Genomic DNA, 24,030 nt, shown 5'->3' on the forward strand with positions numbered 1-24,030 from the left:
GTTGATTTTATCCTTTAATGGGAAAAGGTTCTGCAAAAATCATTATAAAATGAAAAAAAAAAACCCAATAAATTTGCAGGTGTGCAAGCCTTATTAAAAGAGGTATTTAAATTTTAAAATAAAATTTAAGATCATATTCTTGTAAATATTTTGTTTTTATTTTTTAAATAAAAACAAAGGCTCCCTTTCATCACCTGCTGAGCATGTGAGGTCAGGTTGCTCAATTTCTCTGGTATGTTTATTTGTCTTTTGTAAAATGTACGTACCACACAAGAATTAATGACCAATTTGATGAGATAGTATACAAGAATTGTAACTTTAAGGCCCCTTTCACATAATGGATTATTTTAATCAGAGATGGAATCTCTATGAGGGGAGTTCTCTTTATTGAAATATCAATTTTAAAAATATGGTTCATAGTCTGGTTACACAGTGTTTTTCCTATAAGTTCATTGTGAGATGTGTCACAGTAATTTTGGAGGAAAGAATTCCTTTCATGTATTAATTTTCATGTGCTAATTATAGGTATTAATTGTTTCTGAGGTATAGAATATCAGCATGTAGTATAGGAAGGTAGTGAATAAATAAAGGAGTAGTATTTATGAAAACAGAAAAAAAAGAGTTGAAACTTCAAGAGAAGTGATTGTTCTGCCTTTGTATTATGTCTGGCCAGTTGTGTGCTCAACAGGAATGCTGAAGGACTGGTGAGCATAGGGGTGAGGAAGTTGTACTGTTGGGCATGAATCTTTGATATAAAATGCTTCACTTGTTAGAATTTTATTTCACTATGTTTGCTTCCTCACCCTAAATGTGAATGGAACAGGCCATTAAGAATAAAATATTCAAGCAATAAACAATTTTCCTGGCCTGCATGTTCTTTCTGGCTCAGTTAAGGCTGCATTCTAGGGGAATGCTGCCAAGCAGCAATGGAATGAGGCAGTCATTTGGGATGTCTCAGTCTTGGAGGTTCAACGAGACAGGTGGCTAATTTGGGTCAATCAGTGGACTGAAGGGGACAGAACTTGGTCTGGCAGCAAGCAAGCTGTTGAGGCATCTCTGACCGCTGGGAGAACTGGGCCAGACCTCAGCTGCTGGGTAGCCTTTCAGCCTTCTCTGGTCTTGTGAAAACTGATAGGGATAAGGTTGGCATCCAGTCATAGGGAATAGCACTGGACAGGTTCATGGTTAGACATGGAGGACTGTTATGGGGATGTGTTTATTGAAAATGAGATTTAAGTGCAGAAATATAATTATTAGACCAGTTTTAAGATGATCAGAACAAGACTTAGCAATTGTTTTGGACTAGCAATGATTCTCCTGAACTACTAGACTAGAAATCCTGAGAGTCTCCCAGAGAAAAGCCAAGACTGATGCTGGAATATGGGGCTTAATGAGTTCACAACTGGAAGCCCAGGATCTGGTTAAGGAAATGGTTTGTCCTCAGGGAATGCTGCACATTTTATAATGTTCACTAAGCAATTGTCTGTCTGCCTCTTTCCTTTTCTTGTTTGTGGAGTCTTCTTCCTTCCTTTCTTTCTTCTCTTTTTTCCTCCTTCTCCTTCCTTTCTTGCTCTCTCTTTCATCTCCTTCCCTCTCTTTCTGTCTCTTTTCTTCTTCCCATTTCTTTTCCCTTCTTTCCTCCTTCCATGTTTAGCTTTTATTGAAAGTCTAAACTGCAATATTCTAATTCATTATTGAAAAAAGCTTTTAAAATCACCTATCTACATGTTGCTTAATATGTCATCTTTCAAGGACAACGGGGTGCATAATATAATGATGCATAATGTACCAAGTATGTAACATATAAAGGATAAATTGCAAATTATTTCCAAAACTATTTCTCAGTAAAATTATTCAGAGGAACAGTCTGATGATCAGATAGACTCTAAAGTCAGTCATCTGAAGCCTGTATTTTAATGAGGGAAATTTTACATTTTAGAAGAAAGGTCTATATTTCTTCAAAAATTTAATTTTTGGCATTTTAGTATTATATTCTTCTTATAGAAGAATACCATAAACATTCTTTATATTCTTCACCTAAGTTCATTAATTGTTAGTATTTTTATACATATCATTTATATTTATCTTTTTATCTATCTATTGACAACGTTTTTGAATCATTTTAAACTAACAGATAGCAGGACACTTCACAACAAAATACTTCAATGCGTATCTCTTATGAATAATGACTTTCACCGTAAGGCTATTATCATATCTAAGAAAATTAACATTTATTTAATACAATAATCTGATAACATAGAGTCCATATTTAAATTTACCTAATTGACCCAAGTAGTGTTTTTTATAACTTCGGTGTTTGAATTTTCCATCCAGGAGTTAATCAAAATTCATGAACCGTCCATTTACTATGTCTTAAATTAGTTGCCCCACATTCTAATTTTTTGGTTTTTTATGACCCTGATGTCTTTTTATGGCCAAGTCCAAACGTTGCTTACAATAATTCACATTCTGTATTTGTTTCATTATCTTGTCATAGTTAGATCAGATTAAACACTTTGGCAAGAATATTACTTAGGGGTTGTTGCTTACTTTTGTTAGAAAGCAAATCATATCAGGGCTTTCTATTATTTATGATACTATATATTTGAACACTTGGTTAAGACAGTGCCCATCATATTTTACCATTTAAAAAGTACATTTTTCTCTTCATGATTAATAATCAAACTATGGAGTGATATTTTGAAGTATTTGAGATATTTTAAGATAGTGTACCTCTTCTGTTTCCTAGTATTCTTGATAATCCTTGAGTGACTAAATCATTACACTAGAGGATATGAAGCAAATTTGTAATTTTCTAATCCCTTTGTACTTGTTATTCTTTCTAAAACACCATTTAATTTTGTTATAGTAAATTAATTCATTATTCTTTCTTATACTCTAATATCTAAAGTTGGCCCCTTCAAGTTCCTTCACTTCAGCTACTTTTGATCCCATTAATATCTGGGTACTTCTTTTTATTATTATTATTATTTTTTAGATGGAATCTCCTTCTGTCGCCCAGGCTGCAGTGAAGTGGCACGATCTCGGCTCACTGCCAAGCTATTCTCCTGCCTCAGCTTCTCAAATAGCTGGGATTACAGGCGTGTGTGCCACCACGCCCAGCTAATTTTTGTATTTTTAGTAGAGACAGGGTTTCGCCATGTTGGCCCGGCTGGTCTCCTGACCTCAGGTGATCCACCCACCTAAGCCTCCCAAAGTGCTGGAATTATAGGCATGAGCCACTGTGCCTGGCCCATATCTGGGTATTTCTTACCTTGTCTCAAGCTCACTTTGTACTTTGTTGCCTCAAACTGAAATTAAGGCATTTCCTAAGAAACTCTCATTTCTTTAAATGGAGTATAATATTTTGAAAACAAGATGTTAATACTAGGTTTAATCTTTGTTACTGGGGTGGCATTGACCTAGATTAGAAGTGGGTAGGCTAGAGCCTGTGAAGCAAATCCAATCTACTTCCTGGTTTTGTAAATAATATTTTATTGGAACAGCTATGCTCTGTTGTTTACATATTATGTATTTCTATTTTCACACTACAATGGCGGAGTTGATTATGTGCAACAGAGACCATATGGCTGCAAAGTCTAAAATATATACTATCTTACCCTTTACAAGAAAAAAAAAGTTTGCCAGTATTTTATATAGATGCTTTCAGTGGACTGCTCTCTCTCTCTCTCTCTCTCTCTCTTTCTCCATATATATATATATTTTAATGTCATGATTTTACTTCTGTTCTGGCCAAAATGGAGTAACAGAGACTGGATCTACCTCTTGCCTAAAGTAACCAAAACACAAAACTAAACTAAATTAAATAAATTATAGGAAACAAGGAGTTCCAATACAATGGATGTCAGACAATGAAGATGAAAGAGAACAAATCCTGAGAAACAAAAAAACAGGCAAAATATGCCATACAACTCTCCCAATTTATTGCCTTGAGAGTTTTCAGACTACACTATAGGAAAGACAAACCCAGATGGAATCTAGCCGACTCTCAGGACTGGGGAGATGCAGTCCAGCCGACCAAAGTGGCTGTGGGTGGCAACGGGGGCATTGGGGGGTCTCCCTTGAGTATTAAGCACCATGATTAAAACATGCATGTGAAGAAGCCATCACAGTTCAGGGAAAGAATTTGCCAAAACCATTACATTGACCAACGTATGATGTGTAAACAAAACTAGAACTGATGCACACTGCTAACCAGCTAAACTGACAAATTAATTCATGAGACATGGGGTAGTGTACTCAGGAAGTTCTTGCCTTGGTGGAAAGTAATTAACCCTAGATCTAGTGCTGCCCTGTACCTACTTAACACTTCTTAAAGCAAGATTCAAAAGGCTTTGCAAACTGTTGTAATATACCTTAACAGAGGCTCAGCTCAAAGCTCAAGAATGTTTTTAGGGCTGCAAACATATCCAGCACCCAATAAGATAAATTTCAAAATGTTTGGTATCCAATCAAAGGTTGCAAAGTATGCAAAAAAAGTACTTATGTATGACCCTTTATAAGTAAAATACTAAGTCAACTGACACTGTACTAGAACTGACCAATACGTTAGAATTAGCAGACAAGACATTAAAAGTCATAACTGTATTAAATATTTTTAAGTTAAATATAAAATGTGTATATATATACACACATCTGAAGCTACCTTCTAAACATGAAACCTATAATATGTAAGATGAAAAATACATTGAATGTGATTAGAGCAGATTAACATCACAGAAGAAAAGAAGTGAATTTGAAGACACAGCAATAGAAACTATTCAGGATGAAACGGAGAAAAGAAAATTTAGAAAAATAGAGAGAGCTTTGGCGACCTATCTGTGGCACAACTTTAAGAGACCTCATATGTGCATAACTGAATTCTCTAAAGCAGAGTAGAGAGAAAGGGTTACAGAAAATATTTGAAGACACAATTGTTGAGAGAATTCTAAATGTGATGAAAACTATACATCTATAGATCCCAGAAGTTCTATGAGCCCCAATCACAAGAAACACAAAATAAATGACAACATGCACATCATAATGAAATTGCTTGAAAATAATGGTAATAAGAGCATATAAAAATCATCTGAGAAGGAAAATACACTAGGCATACAGAAGAAGATAATAGCAGCAGAATTTTAATCAGAAACAATGTAAGTGAAAATAAGGGTGAGCAAAGTACTTCAAAGTACAGTACTTTCAAAAGCAAAAATCAAAAAGCTGTCAGCAGTTTGTACCACATTTGTACAATGGAAACAGATGCTCATTCCTCATTCACTCGATTGACATGTAAGAATGTTAGTGTGAAAGTTACTGAGCTTTATTTGGGCATACTGGGGAAAAAATAATCCTAGTGACCTCTTTATGTTTGCAACCAGGCTACCAGAGTTGGGGAAACAAGACTCTTACTCACTGAAAGAGATAGAGTCTGGTTATGCTGCCCAGGCTGGTTTTGAACTCCTGGGCTCAAGTGATCCTGCCACTTCAGCTTCCCAAATAACTGGGAGTGTGCCATCATGTGCACTGGTACAGGTGTGTGCCACCACACTTGACTTTCTCTCTATTTTAATTATAAAAACATACATCAGCGGAACCAGCAAACAGGATGCCCAAATAAAAGGCACACATGGAAGCTGCCAGTCCACCAGCTGCAGATCACCTGAGCCCTGGGGCTGGTGCTTACCTACTGAGAATGGCACCAAGGACCAGCCAACAAAGGTTAACCTGGGACACTCTTGGACAGTGATTCTGATGTTTGTTCTGAGCAGCGCGCTCAACAGTATGACAAGAGAGAGGGGCCAATGTCCACTGAACTACCAGTTCTTCCTGCTGCAAGCTTTCCCAGGACTGAGATCCCAGGGCTAAACAAGGAGCCAGCCCCAGTCAGCACCTTGGCATCTGCCTGGCCTCAGTGGCCCTGTCCTACTGGTACCTGTATGACATCCACGGCTTACTTCTGCGAGGTGATGCTCGCTGTGGGAGTCCATGATGAACTTGAACTGGAAGTTCCAGGCAAGCATGTGGGCCCTCTTCATTTATGACACCTCCATCCTTGTCATGGGACGCATGTACCTGTGTCTGCATGGCTGCTACCCACTGCTACTGCGCTGCCTCATCTACACGCTTTGGCTCTGGCCTACTTGTGAGAGTTCGCCCCTTGCTGCATCCTGCACCAGTTCAACACCTGCCTCTGGAAGTACTCCCAGTTCCATTTTGACTTCATGGGCCTATCACCCTGGAGTATGCTGTGCCCTGGTTCTGCGAGTCCCTCATCATGGAACAACTCCAGCGCACTCTGCCCCTGCTTCAGTGACACCCAGCCTGGGAAGCCTAGTGGACCCCTGGCCCTGGCCAACATCCATGTCAAGACTGACTGAGAGTAGAGAGGGATGAGTGGGTGTTCTGGAGATCTCTTATGGAATTCATGGACAAAGAGACCAAGCTGGTGTATTGCGCCTTCTGTGCAGCACAAGCCCTGCCCTGGCCAGGCCTCAGCCCTGTAGGGCACACACAGCCCCATACCCTCCAAGGTGGGCAGGTGTTGAGGGGGCATGGTCAGGTGGTGGGGGACAGGGTGTCAAGGCAGCAGAGGAACATAGGGAAGGATACATGGATTTTGGCCCAGCTCAGAGGCTGGTGGTGGGAGGCTGTGGGTAAGCGGTGATTGGACTGTACAGTTGACTTTGGAAGCAGCAGGCCATCCTGGCTAAGGGACATTGAGAATGGGGCCACAGGTAGGAGGCAAGGCCTGACCTCCCTCCCTCTCATCTGGATTTAGTTGGACTTTGGCTGGTTCCATTAGGCAACTTTCAGGTTCTTGCTTGCAACCAGTACCTTCACAGAGGTCTGCTGAGCTGTCGCTTAAGAGATACTGGGCAGCCAGGAGGCTTCTTGGCAGTAATGTTGATGTACAAAAGCTGGGAGACTTTCCCTTGTCTCCTCTCCCCTCCCTCACAGACATGCATAGCTCCCTTGGCCTTTGGGGGCCCCCGTAGTGCTGGATTCCCACCAACATTGGGCTTTTGGAGGTTTCAGTCCCCATGACAGTGCCCTCCCATCTCTTGCAGGCTTTCCTCCACTATTCCCACTTTATCTCTTTTAGCACCACTATTCCTTGTGCTTTGGGAATTCCTGAGTTATGCTTCCCAACTCTTGGTCTAGTGGGCTGTGGCAGTGTCTCCTCTCCACAGTGGCCCAGTTGAGAATGAATGATGCCCTTCAATGCACAGTCAGGCCGAGATGGGCCTTGTGGATCCACAATGGTAACCTAGAGGAAAATTAGTTCCATGGGGAAAAATCAGAGTTCTCAGTCACTTAGGCTCTAACTGGTTTATTTTCAAACTAATTGAGCAATCTAGCATTCCAGGGGATGGAGGAGGAGGTAATCCAGTATTAGAGACTCATGGAGAATGAGGGAGAAAAAAAGAGGTGTCCTTCAGCCTTGGAAAGCTCTTTGGAACACCCTTTGTCAGAAAGGATCGGTTCTTTCTCTGCCATAATCCCAGCCCTGTGGCAAAGCATTCTCATGGTTGCCATTCTCCTCGGCCCCCACCCAGTGAGGAAGATTCTTTGAGCTTGCTCCTTAAACAGTCTGAACCCTGCCACACTCATGGGCATTGTTATCTTGGTTCTGCCCTCCCCCTTTTCCTTGTGACAGGCCCATTGCTGGCAGTGGACAGGTGAAATCCTCACTCTAGCCGCTTTTGGCTCTGCCCCCTATTCCCTGAGGAGAGGGGTCTGTCAGAAAGTGGTCCATCCCGTGGTATGTGGTCTCTTCTTGACCACACTCAGACACTTAGGTAGAAATTAGCCTTTCCCTTCTTATAGATCGTTTTTAAATGACAATAATACCCCCTCCAAAAAAAAAATTATCAATGTGGAATTCTCTATACCCAACAAAATATATTTTAATAGCTACAGTGAAATTAAGACCTTTTGGAGGCTGGAATAATTAATCACCAGTAGAAAGTAGGACTAATCGTTTCCTGCTACTGAAGCAAGAGCTTCCTAAGTACACTACCCCATGCCTCACGAATTAAGAGTTCACCACTTTCTCTGGTTAGGAATGTGCATTGGTTATAGTCCTGTGTGTGTGTCACACACTGTTCACTTTAATTCTTTTGAATAATTTTTTCCTGGATGCTAGAAGAAAAGATTTGAAGTGTTTCCAACACAAAAAATAATAAATGCTTGAGGTAATATATATCCCAGTTAATCTGATTGTATCATTACACATTGTGTGCAAGTATCAAAATATCTCATGTGCCCCATAAGTATGTACAATTATTACATATCAATAAAAAGATGTCCACTATAAACCCTAAATCAATGACTAAAATATCAAAACAAAGAGTTACACCTAATAAGCCAAAAAAGGATACAAAATGGAATTATAAAAATGTTCAACTAATCCAAAGGTAGGCAGAAAAATAGATAAAGGGGAATAAACAGATGGAACATATTGAAAACACATAATAAAATACTGTCAAATTTAACCATATCAATAATCACATTGAAGGCAAATGTTTTAAACATTTCCATTTAAAAGGCAGAGATTGTCAAGATTGGATAAAAAACAAAATTAAAACATTTTTGCTGTCTAAAAGAAATACATTTTAATATAAAAACACAGGTTAAAAGTAACAGAATGGAAAATAAATGCCAGGTTAACATTACTCAAAAGAAAGCCAGAATGGCTATGTTAATATCAGTTATACCAATTTCAGAACAAAGAATATTACTTGAATTATATGACAAAGTTCACTTCAAAATGATAAAGGGGTTAATCCATCAAGAAGACATAACAAGCCTAAATGCTTATGCTTCTAATAATAGAGCTTCAAAATACATAAATCAAAACCTGATCAAACTTCAAGGAGAAACAGACAAATACAAAATTTTAATCAGAAATTGAAATACCCTTTTTTCTGTAATTGATAGAATCAGTAGACAGAAGATCAATAAGAATATAGAAGATTTGAGCAATACTAATAACCAATTTGACATAATTGACATATATATAAAACATCCCACCCAACAGGAGCAAAATACTCATTCTTTTCAAGCATGCACAGAACTTTTACCAAGATAAGCAATATTCTGGATCACAAAACAAGTTGCAGTACATTTAAATGGATCCAAGTCATGCAAAATGTGTTTTCTGATCTTAATGGAATTGAAATGGAAATCAATAAAAGAAAGTCTCTGGAAAATTCCCAAATATTTGAAAACCAAATAACACTTGGATCAAAAATAAATCAGAATAAAAAAATGGAAAATATTTTAAACTGAATGAAAATACAATATATCATAATTTAGGAACTTCCCCTAAGCAGACATAAGGTAAAATTTATATACTAAACGCCTATATTAGAAAAGAAGGAAGGTCAAATTAAAGGCATCAGCTTCATTTTATGAAACTATTATAGAAGAATAGGAGCAAATTCTGCCAAAGCCAATAACATGAAAATATGAAATACATAGGGATGAATATGACAAAAGTTGTTAAAGGCCTGTATTCTGAAAATAGAAAAGTATTGTTGAGATAAATCAAAGAAGACCAGAATAAATGGAGATAGACCTTGGTCTTTGAACAAAAGAGGCACTATTATTAAGATATCAGTTCTCTCCCATTAATCTATGGATTTAATGTTACACCAATAAAAATATAATCAGCCTTTTTTCTTAAAAGGAAAGAAATTGACAATCTGAGTTTCAAAGTCATATGGAAGTGCAAAGAACCTAGAATTTTTAAAACAACACTGAAAAAGAACAAAGTAGAATTAACACTACTTGAATTCCAGAAAAAAAAAATGATAAACTGGACACCACCAAAATTTAAATCAAATGACTTCATTAAGAGGATGAACAGATATGCTACAAATTGAGAGAAAATATTTTCAAATAATATATCTGTAAAGGATTTATACCCAAAATGTATAACAAAATCTCTAAACACAATAATAAGAAACCAAAATACAAAATAAAAACCAGTCAAAATATTTAAACAATGCTTCACCAAAGGAGATAAGAGATAAGAAATAAGCACATGCTGTGAAATGCAAATGACAGCAAAAATGAGATACCACTTTACATGTAGCAAAATAAGTTAAAAAGATGATCATACCAAGTTAGTGGAGGGTGTGAGGAATTCCAAACTCTTGTACACAGATGGGAATGTAAAATGATACAACCACTTTGGAAAACAACTGGGTAGATTCTTCTTTTTCTTTTTTCTTTCTTTCTTTTTTTTTTAGACAAAGTCTCACTTTATTGCCCAGGCTGGAGTGCAGGGGCCCTATCTCAGCTCACTGCAACCTCTGCCTCCTGGATTCAAGCCATTCTTGTGTCTCACCTTCCTGAGTAGCTGAGATTACAGGCATGCACCACCACACCCAGCTAATTTTTGTATTTTTAGTAGAGATGGGATTTCACCACGTTGGTCAGGCTGGTCTCAAATTCCTGACCTCAGGTGATCCACCCACCTTGGCATCCCAAAGTGCTGGGATTACAGGCATGAGCCACCACGCTCAGCCCTACTATAAGATCCAACCATCCCACTCATCAGTATTTAACCAAGAAAAAAGAAAGCATGTGTCTATTAAAAAATTTGTGCATGAATGTTCATAGAACCTTTATTTCTATTAGTATGAAACCCAAAACAACCTAAATATTCATCAGCAGATGAACAGATAAATTGTGAAATAAGCATAAAATGGAATACAACTCAGTAATAAGAAGGAATTAACTATTGAATATTAAAATAATTATGCTGAATGAAAGAAGTCAGATTCTCTCCTTGGCAAGAGTATATACTGGATAATTCCATTAGTATAAAACTTTAGAAAATGCAAACTATAGTAACAGAAAGAATATGAGTGGTTGCTGGATGGGACACTGGGGAAGAGAGAGAGGGATTCCAAAGAATATAAGAACACTGTTGGGAGTGATAGATAAGGATACAATCTTGATTGCAGTAATAGTTACATAGACATGTAACTATTACATGTTACAAGTTACATTTTGTAACTATTACAAGTTACATGTCTATGTAACTATTACATATACATGTCATACATATGTCAATACATATGTCAAAACATATCAAATTACATATTTTAAATATGCGCAATTTTTTATGTGTCAATTATACCTGAACAAAGCAGTTAAAAAATGTTGAGTCCACATTGTTATTTTAAATTCAAATGAAATGCCATAAGATTCTTTTTCACCTTCACATTCCCTCCTAGTGTTCTCCTTTTCTCACCGTGAAAACTAGTTCCTAATAAAGTTAAAATAGGTACTTATCGTTCTATCTCACAACACACAGGCAACTATAATCACACACAGACCTAGAGAGAAAGAGAGAGAAAGTTGGTTTTAGGATTGTATCTATACTATTACTAAAAGAATATCATAAAAGTAAAAATTAAAGGTTTCTTGTAGTTCTTTTGGTCCATATGATATAAACCATTAAAGTACACTTAAAGTGTTCAATAAGAAAACTGTGTTCAAATTACTTGAGTTCTTATTTAAAAAATATAGTTTTTCAAAATAAAACTATATGAAAATGTATACTCAAATATTTCTCCCATAATAATCTTTTCACTTACCATTTCCATTTACCTCATAAAAGGATACTATATTCTTAATTTCTTTTTGCAAAAAAACCTAAATTTATATTTTTTATATTTGCATATGTATATACGTGTATGTATGCATACTTATTTCTTATTTCTCATTTGTTACACAAATAGTGGCATACTGTGCAATATCTTTATCAACTTTCTTACAGTTTGATTTTTTTTAACTTAATACATCTTAGATGTAACACAGACCATGAATATCCACTTCATTCATCTTCAGCTACATACTTCCTACTCATCATTATTCACTCAAATTAGCTTCCTATGGATGGCATCCTATGACAGTTTTCACTATTTTGCCTTTCCAAATGATGGCACAATGAATAAACTCTTGCATAGATATAGATAAATATGAATGTAGATATAGATCTGGAATAGATATAGGAAGTTTATTTTTAGGGGAAATTCCTAGAAAGGGAACTGTTTCTGTTGTGGAAGATAATACAGATTTCACCACAATGGTTATTGTATAGTTTACACTTGCTCCAGAATCTATACCTGACTCCCGCCTATGTATGTATTGTCAAACTTTAAAGTTTGCAAATACAACAGGTTAGGAATGGTATCACATTGTGCATTAAATTTGTATCTTTGTGATAATGAGTGGTGTCTATATGGTTTACTTTTTTATTCACCAAAATTCTTGTTTCATTTGGAACTTATTGTGGTGAGTAATGTTAGGTTGTGAAATAAGTATTCAGTTGTCTCAACATAATTTATTACAAATATTTATGTTTTCAACAGTGAACTGAGATGCTACCTTTACTATACACGAAGTTTTCATACATTCTTAAGTAGATTTCTGGTAATCTATTTTGTTCATTGGAGAAACCTCATATGCTTTTAATTATGGTGGTTATAGAGTATGCTTTTATATTTGGCAGGACTGCTACTGCCTCTTGTTATTTTTGGAGGGATTTTCTAACTCCTTGCCTGTTTATTTTTTTTTTTTATTATTTGTATAAATTTAAGGAGTACAAGTGCATTTTTGATACATGGATAAATTGTGTAGTGTTGAAGTCTGGGCTTTTAATGTAAGCCTCACTTGAATAATATACATTGTATCCATTAAGTAATTATTCATCCCTCACCTGTCTCCCACCCTCCTACCCCTCCAAGTCTCCAGTATCCATTATTCCACTCTGTATGTTCATGTCTACACGCTGTTTAGCTCCCATTTCTAGGTGGGAATGGGTAGTGTTTGACTTGCTGTTTCTGAGTTGTTTCCTCTTAAGATAATGACCTCTAGTTCTATCCATGTATGATTTCATTCTTTATATGGCTGAATAGTATCCCATATATATTCAATATTTATGTGTTATATATATGTATATATAATAAGTTGTTATATATATATTACTTTTTTATTCGCTCATCTGTTGATGGACAGTTAGGTTGATTCCATATCTTTGCTATTGTGAATAGTGTTGTGATAAACATAAGAGAGCAGATATTTTTGATATAATGATTTCTTTTCCACTGGGTAGATACCCAGTAGTGGGATTGCTGGATTGAATGGTAGTTCTATTCTTATTTCTTTGAGAAGTCTTCATACTGTTTTCCATAGAGGTCTTACTAATTTACATTCCCCGTAGCAGTGTATATGTATTTCTTTTTCTCTGCATCCTCACCAACATTTGTTATTTTTTGACTTTAATAATAGCCATTCTGACTGGTATAAGATGATACCTCATTGTGGTTTTAGTTTGCATATCTCTGATGGTTAGTGATGTTGAGCATTTTTTTTTATGCTTGTTGACCATTTGTATGTCTTCTTTTGAAAAATGTCTACTCATGTTCTTTGCCCATTTTTTTTGTTTTGTTTTTTGAGACAGAGTCTGTCTGTCACCCAGGCTGGAGTGCAGTGGCGTGGTCTTGGCTCACTGCAACCTCCAACTCCTGGGTTCAAGCGATTCTCCTGCCTCAGCTTCCTGAGTAGTTGGGATTACAGGCACACACCACCATGCCCAGCTAATTTTTGTGTTTTCTAGTAGAGATGGGATTTCACCATGTTGGCCAGGCCGGTTTCAAACTCCTGACATCAAGTAATCTGCCTGCCTCAGCCTCCCAATGTGCTGGCGTTACAGGTGTGAGCCACCATGCCCGGCCCCTTTGCCCACTTTTTAATTGGGTTATTTGGTTGTTATTGTTGAGTTTGAGTTTCTTATAAATTTTGGATATTAGTCCACTGTCAGATACATAGTCTGCAAGTATTTTGTCTGTTACATAGGCTGTCTGTTCACTCCGTTGATTATTTCTTTTGCTGTGCAGGAACTTTTAGTTTCTCTGAGTCCCATTTGTTTATTTTTGGTTTTGTTGCTTGTGCTTTTGAGATCTTAGTCATGAATGCCTTGCCTGGGAAAATATCCAGAAGAATTTTCCTTAGGTTTTTGTCTATCATTTTGATAGTTTCGGGTCTTACATTTAAGTCTTTATTCCATCTTGAGTTGATTTTTGTGTTGGGTGTGAGAGAGGGGTCCAGTTTCATTATTCTACATATGGCAATTCCCAGCACCATTTGAAAAGGCTGTCCTTTCCCTGGTGTACGTTTTTGTCAATCTGTTGGCTATAGATATGTAGCTTAACCTCTGGGATCTCAATTCTGTTCCGTTGATCTATTTGTCTGTTTGTATACCAGTACTATGCTGTTATAGTTACTATAGTCTTGTAGTACAATTTGAGGTCAGGTAATGTGTTGCTTCCAGCTTTGTCCTTTTTGCTTAGGGTTGCTTTGGCTATTCGAGCTCTTTTTTGGTTCCGTATACATTTTAGGATGTTTTCTCTAATTCTTTGAAACATGACATTGATATTTTGGTTAGAAATTGCATTGAATCTGTAGATTGCTTTAGGCACTATGGTCATTTTAACAATATTGATTCTTCCAATTCATGAATGTGGGATATTTTTGCATTTGTTGGTGTCCTCTATGATTTCTTTCCTCAGACTTTTGTAGCTTCCCTTGTAGAGATCTTTCACCTCTTGTTTAAATATGCTGCTAGGTATTTTTTAGGTAGCTATTATAAATGGGATTACCTTCTTGATTTTGTTCTCGGTTTCATTGTTGTTAGTGTATAAAAATGCTACTGATTTTTGTATATCTATTTTGTATTCTGAAACTTCACTGAATTTATTTATCAAATCTAAGAGGTTCTTTTGCAAAGTCGTTAGGGTTTTATAGATATAACATCATATCATCAGTAAACAGAGATAATACAACTTCCTCTTTTCCGATTTGGATGCCTTTTATTTATTTCTCTTTCCTGATTGCTCTGGCTAGGACTTCCAGTACTGTGTTGCATAGGACTGGTGTAATTGTAAAATCCTTGTCTTGTTCTAGTTTTAAAAGGAATGCTTTCAACTATTTTTATTAAGTATGACATTGGCTGTGGGTTAGCATATTTGGCCTATATTATTTTGAGGTGTATTTCTTCTTTGCCTAGTTTGTTAAGGGTCTTCATCATGAAGGAATGCTGAATTCTATTAAATGCTTTTTCTGAATTTATTGAGATGATCATATGCTTTCTGTCCTTAACTTTGTTTATATGATGAATTACATTTATTGACAAAAATGTTAGCCCCAACTTTTTAGTTTAAGAAAATGAAAACTTCGCATTTTTATAAACATTATGTTCAATTTATATATTGATATAGTTGATTACAAGATAGCTATAAATTATTTGCTATTTATGTATTGAGACATGGAATCTGATTTCCCCTCCCTGGAGTCTGAGCTGGCCATTATGATTTGCTTGTCTATTGGAGTGTAGAAGTGACATTCTGAGACTTAGAGGCTTGGGCAGAAAAAGCCTCACAGACACTTTCTAGGTCTAGGAACCTCAGTTTTAGGAACTGAGGAAGTTCCTTTCTAGCAACCTCTTAGGACCCAGACACCATGCTGTTAGGAAGTCCAAGCAGCTCCCTGTACAAGCCACATGAACAGGAGCCAATTATCCTTGTCAGCAACCTTGGCTGAGTCAATAGCCACTACCAACCGGATAGCCACATGAGTGAGTCTTCTTAGAGGTGGATCCTCTAGCCCTAATAGAATCACCCAGCTGATGCCATATGGAACTGAGTTGAGTCATCCTCAATAAGCCCTACTCAAATTTCAGATTTGTTTGACAAAAACTGAATAATTATTAAAGATTACTGTTGTTATAAGCCAGAAAAATTATCTTAGGGAGAATTAAAACTGGATGGATAATTTTTAAACTTTCCGCTTTGCACTAAGTTGTCATCAAATACTCTTTATACCTTCATTTTTCTACCCTATTCTATTAAAAATAACGTTTAGAGGATTGTAATACAGTCTATTTAAATAAGCATTTTACCTTAAACACCTTAATAATACTAGTAATATCTTATAAAACATTAATCCTGAATAGCATAACATTATACTTGTTTAGTAAAATGAATAGTTTCTAATAATTAAAATAAATTGTTACTCTTATCCTGTATACTTCAAATAAGAGTTCAAGGCAGTTAAAAATCTACCTATGCATCAGGTCCCTATTATAAGTAAATAGAAGGAGAAACCTATAAAAAGTAGGGATTACATTATTACATTGTTTTCTTGGTTCTAAGTTTCATCCTTTTAAACTAATATTTCTCAACTTGGATGCTTCTTGTGATTGATATATATGTTTAATGTAGTGACTCTCCTACCGTCCAAAAGCTATTGCTAAGTCAAATAATATGTTAGGATTGAAGAATTATGTATACATTTTGAAGCATTTTCCTTTTTTTTCTAAAATAAAATCAGCATCTATAGATAGATATCTGAGAACTGCAAGAGGATTCTTCAGGCAATTTGATTGAAATGGCCAATGTAGTTAGACAGATATCCAGTTTGCATAGGAGGAAAAGAATTAATGGATGGATGATGTATTTTTCTCTGCTTAGCATTGCGTTTTTCAGTCATATATGTAAGCATAGAGCCAGTAGTGTATACAGTGTGGTCACAGATACTGAAGCCAGACTCCTTGGTTTCAGATCTCAGCTCTTCCATGGTAGCCATATGACCTTGGGAAATTTTTGCTTCCATTATAGTTTTCTATGAGTATTCAATAAGTTAATACTCATAAAGCACAAAGGAAAGTAATAGCATATAGTTTGCACCTTGCAGAAGTTTGTTAAATAAAATTAAAATGCAGGGAGGACCTCAGAAGGGGAAAAGCTAAATAAGTATTTTAACGGAAAGAAAAAAGGAAAAAATAGAGCAGGCAACACTGTAATAGGATTTATTTAAGCAGCTGCTGTTTCTTTACATAAACTCTTATTCACTTATATAAAGCACCTCTGTAGAAAGTATGAAAGGTGCTTCAGAGAAGTTTTCGAGCCTTTAGAAAGTTCCAAAGCCTAAATATATATATGAACCTTTTTGTATTGCAGCAAGTCATTCTGTTATGTACACATTTTAGTACAGATGGCTATTTTGAGAGAGTGTACGTAAAACTGGTTATAACAAATGAATTTTCTATTCCCAAGATTTGTTTTTCTCTCAGTATGTTATCATTTTGAGCTACATTTTTGGAAGCATATATGACAGGTGTACTTACCAACTGTGCCTGAAAGAATGATGTTTTGAAAAAAAAAATCTACCACTTCAAACCTCTAGTTCTCTGTTCTTTCTTCACGTTGAAATTATTTCTGGATGAATTTGTTTATTTCTTATTTCTCAGGTGTATTTATTTATACTTTGTACCCTACCTACATCTCAAATGATTTTAAGATAGCTTTTAAAAATTCATGTATAATAAGACAGTTAAAATTAAAAAAAAAAAAATCTGACACTACATGTATATGACTGTATGAGAGCGTGAGGTTCTCAATGGAAAAGTGCATATGTTACCAGTGGATGGTGTCCAGGTTCTTGGCAACTTGAACAAAGAATTGGACAAAATGCACAGACAAAGCAAGGAAAGAATGAAGCAACAAAAGCAGAGATTCATTGAAAATGAAAGTACACTCCACAGAGTGGCAGTGGGCCCAAGCATAGGGGCTCAAGAGCCCTGTTAAAGAATTTTTTGGGGGTTTAAATATCCTCAAGAGGTTTCCATTGGTTACTTGATGTACACCCTATGTAAATGAAGAGGATGAAGGAAAGTTACAAAGTCATTTACTCGGTGTTTGTCCTATGTAAATGGAGAGGATATTTCCTGTCATAGCTGAAGTGTTTCCCTTTGATTTAGTTTTAGGAAGTCCTTAGGTTTCCTGCATCCAGACCCCATTCTCCTGCTTCACATATGCCTAAAACTTTGTAATATCAAATTTTGTTTTGAGCTTGCTGGTAGGCAAGACAAAAAGGAGCACTGATTAAAAGTATTCTAAGTTAATTAGAGCTCATAACTATTTTCTTTTCCTTGTCCTGAATTCTGAAAAGCATCCATTGGGTGGTTCCTACCTACACAGAAATAATACTCTCTACAGAGCTTTTGCAAAACATACAGAGATGTCTCTCATATCCCACCCACTTTTGATGAAAGTCATAGGTGTACTACGCAAATGTCACTTAGTGAAAATGTAAGTTGGTGTTTGGTTTTGGATTATTTTATTCATTTGTTTGTTCATTTGCTGTTGGTGAGACCCAGCTAACGTGGTCCAGATGTGTTGCCTTCTCCTCTGGTGACAATTAGAATTCTTAATGAAGTTGTTTTCAGAAGATGACCCCCACCACTATCTGAATTAAAATCACATGAATAATTTGTTAAAATGTACATTCCAGGTCCTCAGCTCAGTCTTACCCAATGAGAATTTTGGGGACTGGGTTATTTTTTAAAAGCTTCTCAAAGGATTGTTATGAACACCAAAGAGGGCAAATTACTTTCTTAGACAAGTAGACCTGTAGGAAAGGGATCAAAGGGCAATCTAAGCTACAAGAAAGTGAAGGTTTGAAGACTTTGCATACTACTCTGCAGGATTTTACAACTGACAAGTTGACAGCTTCTTCCTCATCTCAAAGACGAGGAAATCATTTTGTCTTACCTACCAGAAAGGATTGCTGTAAAGATTACATTAGACAATAAATGTAAAAATGCTTTGTAAACCATTATATAAAAAAGAAGACACAGTTTTCATTATTATCAAGAAAAACATGTAGTTTTTAAAATCTAACTCTTATAAGGAGGTTGTTAGGCATAGAACTTTGGGATCTCATGGTGTGTTTAACTCCCGAATTTCACTCACTACGGTATCTAAAATAAAAGCCTTAAATTCTGGGTCTCAGGGAATCTGGAGATCCTCTGCTTCCTAAATAGAATTTCAAGCTCCTTCTATCTTTAGATTTGCCTTCCCCATTCTTCCAACTCCATGTGCTGCCAATTCCTGGGGCATTTGGGGTTCTATAGTGCAAATTGAATTGGTTTTTGACCTTCTTTACTGCTAACCTAGGAATCAACTTTCTTAGCTAAGGATTTGCTTCTTGTCTTTCTGCAGTCTAGCTTCTAAAATAGTGCCATTTTCTCTGTCCCTCCTGCCCCCTTTGTTTTGTTATTGTGAGATTTTTTCCTCTTTCAGAAATTATTTGCAGTCATTTTAAGGGGCACTGGGCAGTGGGGGGAAAGCTAACCCAAGATTTTTGCTTTGAAGTTGTTCTTTTAAAATGTGAATGCTTTCTCCTTAAAATCATTAGTTGCAAACTTGGTTCACACTCTTGTTTTATGATGTTTTAAAATGTGATGCATATATTTTGCCCTCAGCTAAAAAAAATAGGAATCATCCCACCCACTCCAAAGCCCCAGATCTGGTTACTTTATTCTCAGTAGCAGGATGGAAGAAAGAAGGAAGAGGGAAGGAAGGTAGGAAGGAAGCCAAAATTAATGGATATTAATTTTGAAGAGTATTGGTGATGATCCTTGTCAGCAATGTATTAATACTTCCTAGATTTTCTTATGACTCTCCTTTTTTTCATATAAAATCTGATGAATGTGACAAGTTTATGCCTGATTGTACTGGTAGAGTAATAAACTTAAGTTTGTAAGTGCATGGTGACTTTCAGCAATATCCAGTAAAGGGACTTGGGAAAAAAATAGGTTTTAGGAACCCTATCAATAAAACATAGGTAATTAAAGAACTAAAAATGGTGTAACTTTCGTATGGTAGTTAGAGAAATTTAACAGGCATGGTGACAGTCTACATTATTAGTAGATGCTGTGGCTATACATATTTATACTATAAGTCCAAGGCACCCCATATAAAACTATGAACAATCAAAGAGATATCGGGTCTTTGCAGATAGATGTCCTAACTACTTCTCATTTTCCATAGGTCTGTTGCTACCAGGTATGTGATTAGGAAGCTGTCATAACCTAAATTACTCCTTTGTTGAGTCTCTGTTGGGTGTAATTCCATTAATTGCTTTACAGGAGAGAGAAATAGCTTGGGATAGACAAGTTTTGAAGAGAATTAAGAACAGCAGTTGTGCTTCAGAGTAGAATCCAGGCTAGTGACATACAAGAGCAATAATCCGAATTTGTTCCATTCTCAGGTAGTCCTACTTCTAATCTTTATATTGAAGTTTTATGACTACTGTAAAATTAATTTGGAAATAGCATAGAACTATCCTTCTCCTTCAGATGACTTCTGATGAGTCCATTCTTAGTTGTACAGTCTTACAGAACCGGGAAAAATGATTCAGTGAAGGCATCACAGCCTTCTTGCTACTTTGCTTTGGTTCATTCAAAGCTTGCTGCTTCTAAACTAAGACTTCCTTGGGATTACCCTTGCTAGTCTCTCCCAGGGTCCTGTTTCAAGGGTATGTAGGCATGGTGTTGATTCCAGTGCTAGAGTACTGCTCTACGAAGAGGCCCCAAATGATCCACTGGGCCAAAATATCTTTGCATGTTCTATAATGTACTTTATAATCTATTCATACAGCACTACATTTGTATGGTTTATACACATGCATGGAATGGAGGTTCATCCTCAAAATGTTTGTAAAACTATCCCATAAAATAAGAAAATTATTCGAAGAGTACAGTTAACCTTATCTGATGCTTCTGTGAAGATAAGCACACAATTGTTTTGGTCTTCTCTTTAACAGAGAAGTGTAACTCCAGAAGCTTGAAGCCTTGCATTATCTCATTAGGCAGGTGAGTCCCCTAACTTCTATTGCCACTACTCATTTTTACCAAAAAATTTTGTCTTACCATTAGCATTATTGAGAGCAATAACCAGTGCGAGTAATAATAAAATATCCAGTGAAAATAAAACCTAAATGTAGAAGAATTTTAGAGTTTAGGAAGGTGTCAAATTTAGAGGTATGCATTCTCATTCTTACATTATACTCAATGGTGATGTATAAGCTATTAAAAACAAACCATATTAAAGAAAGGGCATTTGTTTTGTAACTTTTTTCAAATGAACAAATTGGTGATACCTAAGACCATTTTATTTGCTGTCTCCTCTATTTGCTGAAGTGTCCAACTCTTTGTGACAGCTGAAATGACAATCACTGCATGACATAACCATTTACCTAGTGTGTACAGGGATATTTCAGAAATATTAACCATGTGGGAGTCATTTAAAAGGCAAGTAAGTATGACCAGAGTCATTTAGCACTTAGAAACTTCCAGAGCAGCAGTTTAAAAAATAGCCTTGGGCCACAGAGTCTTCTTTGCCAGCTAACATATTGGGTTTATTATATATATATGTATATTAAAAAAACCATTGTGATGCCTTGATCTCTGATTCACAAATTTAGAGCACTGCTAGCTTCAAATCATGGTGTGTACCTTATGGTTTCTTATTTATGATTCTCTGGGCTTCTGTGTGCGTGTGTATGTGTGTGTGTATGTGTGTTTAGAAGGGGGTGGTGGTTTCTTCACTGCTTTCATCATTTGCATGCTTGTGTTTGGTTTTAACGAGGAGGTGTATGTTTTTGGTTCTATGTTTTGTTGAAATTCCTTATCACAAAAGTCCACTACCTTAATAACCATCTTGCAGGCTAAATGTGACTCCTGAAAGTCATAGGTGTTTTATTCTGAATTTACATACTTGTCCTTAACTGGCAGATATGCAAGTTTCCTCCTTCTATACTTTGTTGATTTGTATAGGTCTCCTATTCTGAGGACATAGTGAGAGAAAATGTGGTACATGTTCTAGTAAAATGAGTGGTTATTCTTGCTATTCGTAGAGACAGCGGAGGCAGGTGAATTATGTTCCACTGTGTCAGCCCCAAGCTAAATAGAGCTTTATCTTTTCCACACAGTGAAAGCATCTAGAGGGAATGCAAAGTAGTTTCCATTGTGCAATGAATCACTCATTAAAGTCAATTGACATCCAAGGAACACTTGTTTCAGTTATCACAGCTATTGGTAGGGGGAAGCTGGTTATCAAAGAAAGACAGAATACCACAATGGACCAATCATCTCCTTATTTTATTTTTTTTTTCAAATAAAAAACATACTTAGAAGTCAATTCATTACATTTTCTAGGTTCATGCATTGAAATTCAGGTTCCCCAACTTCCAAATTCTATGTTAAAAGTTTCTGAATATATATACATTATTTTCACCTCTAGAAAGTTATTGAAACTATTAAATTGCTTGGATGGCTGAAGATCAAAAGCATTACAGTCAATTAAGGGGAGAATGCCATACTAAGTGATCTTTGGAATATAATACTTTAAATACTAATTCAGCTTTACAACCTGAAGGTAAAAACCAAACAATTACATGGGACAAAAACTGCTTTAATGTATTACTTCTTATCTAAACACTGTTAAAATGCTCAAATTCTACTACTAGTATAAAATGAAAAAAATGAGCACCAAAATATATCATGTTCTCCACTGTCAAGTCCTTTTGACTGGTGAGAAAATACTGGTTCATATTTTATCTAAGTGTTCCCAACCCATCCTCTTCACATTATACTTGGATGCACCATGGTGTGCTGAAAAGAAGTTTGGCTTAATTTCAGACTCAAACATTACCTCTTCATGTAGTCTCAAGTTAATGAACTTCCCTGGGCCTGAGTTTCCTCATTTATAAACAAAGGGAGTGTGAGAGCACTCATAAAATATTATCTGAAAAGACTGAAAAGCAAACGTGAATGAGTAGTGTCCAGTGAAGGGTGTGTGCCAGTAATCCACTTGAGATTGTTCATGCCTTTCATTCTGTGTGTTAGCGGCAGAGATGGAGGGAAATGAACTAATGAAAGAAATATGTAGATGGATAGGATCAAAGGAATTCAAAGTAGAGTAGTGAGCGAGCTGAAAAATTTTGTATAGTTTCTCTAGGATTCTAAGAAAGAAACTCATTTGATGACTGATATTTATAATGCTTCAAGTTTATTAATGGCTTACTGCAATGTGTCTCAATAAAAGGTGACTGATGTTATCCACGTTTTTCAGATGGATAAGTTGAGGTCAAAGAAGATAAATACCTTTCCTAACATTCCATGGCTCATAGGTGGGAGCATTTGGATTTGACTGTACATCTGTCTGACTTCAAAGTCCAGGTTCTCAGCACTGGGTGAAGAAGCCTCCCAAATTGTGGTAAAGGTACCTAGTTATTATTACACCACATAGTGGTAAGCGAGATTATAGAGCAGGAATAATTCCCCTTAGGATACTGAGTTTACCTTCCACCATTTGAAAAAAGAATTTCTTCTTTGATTAGGTATTTGGCCTGTGTCTTGCTAAAGCTGTTTCATCAGACATAAGTTTATGTTGTGATTAGAGAAATGTGTACTATTCCTTATCTTAAGCTATCTCTTAATAAAGTTACAATTCATAACTATAAACAATATGGAATCATTAGTAAATAGCATAATCTGGCATTTTGGGCCACTTAGCGAAAGTCGTTAGAATACCATTTCATTGATTAAAAGATAAGTTTACCCATATCGTTAATATAAATAGCCATCTGTTTATACCATGAGCATGGTAACAGGCAAATCAGAGCAGGAAGCAGGGTGCATGCAATAGCATTTGGAACCTTGGCGAATCAGACCACAGCAGGACTTTATTAATTAAATTGCTGTAGGCTGATTGCTGAAGGCATTGGTCTGTTCTGTTAGAACTCAAATGACAAGAGTCACGCAACTGTTTGTACCTAGTAAATTCCTTAATCATTTGACTCTCCGTGTATGGCTTATAATTCTCTTCCCCTTCCACTGAAGGATAAACAAGTTATCTTTCACTTTATCCATGGCTGCTGAATACCTCTTTCAGCTCACAAGCATTGATGACAAAGAACATTATCTTAAGAAGAAAAGTATGAGTGCCCAATTCCATTGCCAAATAGGCCCTTACAGAGCTATTTATGGAATCCTAAAGTTAATACATACGGCAGTAATAATGAACTGAGACTAAAATAATTTGCTTCTAGACATAGTTCTGCTACATTTAAAAAGTATGTCAGCCTTGACCAAATCACTTTATC

The 24,030-nt window shown here is 36.2% G+C and overlaps 1 protein-coding gene and 1 pseudogene across 32 annotated transcripts in view; both read left to right on the plus strand.

The window, feature by feature from the left end:
* Positions 1-24,030, plus strand: part of NLGN1 (neuroligin 1) — an 898,421-nt gene that overhangs the window by 242,385 nt on the left and 632,006 nt on the right. The window lies entirely within an intron of this gene.
* Positions 5,805-8,543, plus strand: LOC112268443 (transmembrane protein 229B-like; annotated as a pseudogene).

The sequence above is a fragment of the Homo sapiens genome, chromosome 3, assembly GCF_000001405.40.
Source record: "Homo sapiens chromosome 3, GRCh38.p14 Primary Assembly".
Lineage (NCBI taxonomy): Eukaryota > Metazoa > Chordata > Mammalia > Primates > Hominidae > Homo > Homo sapiens.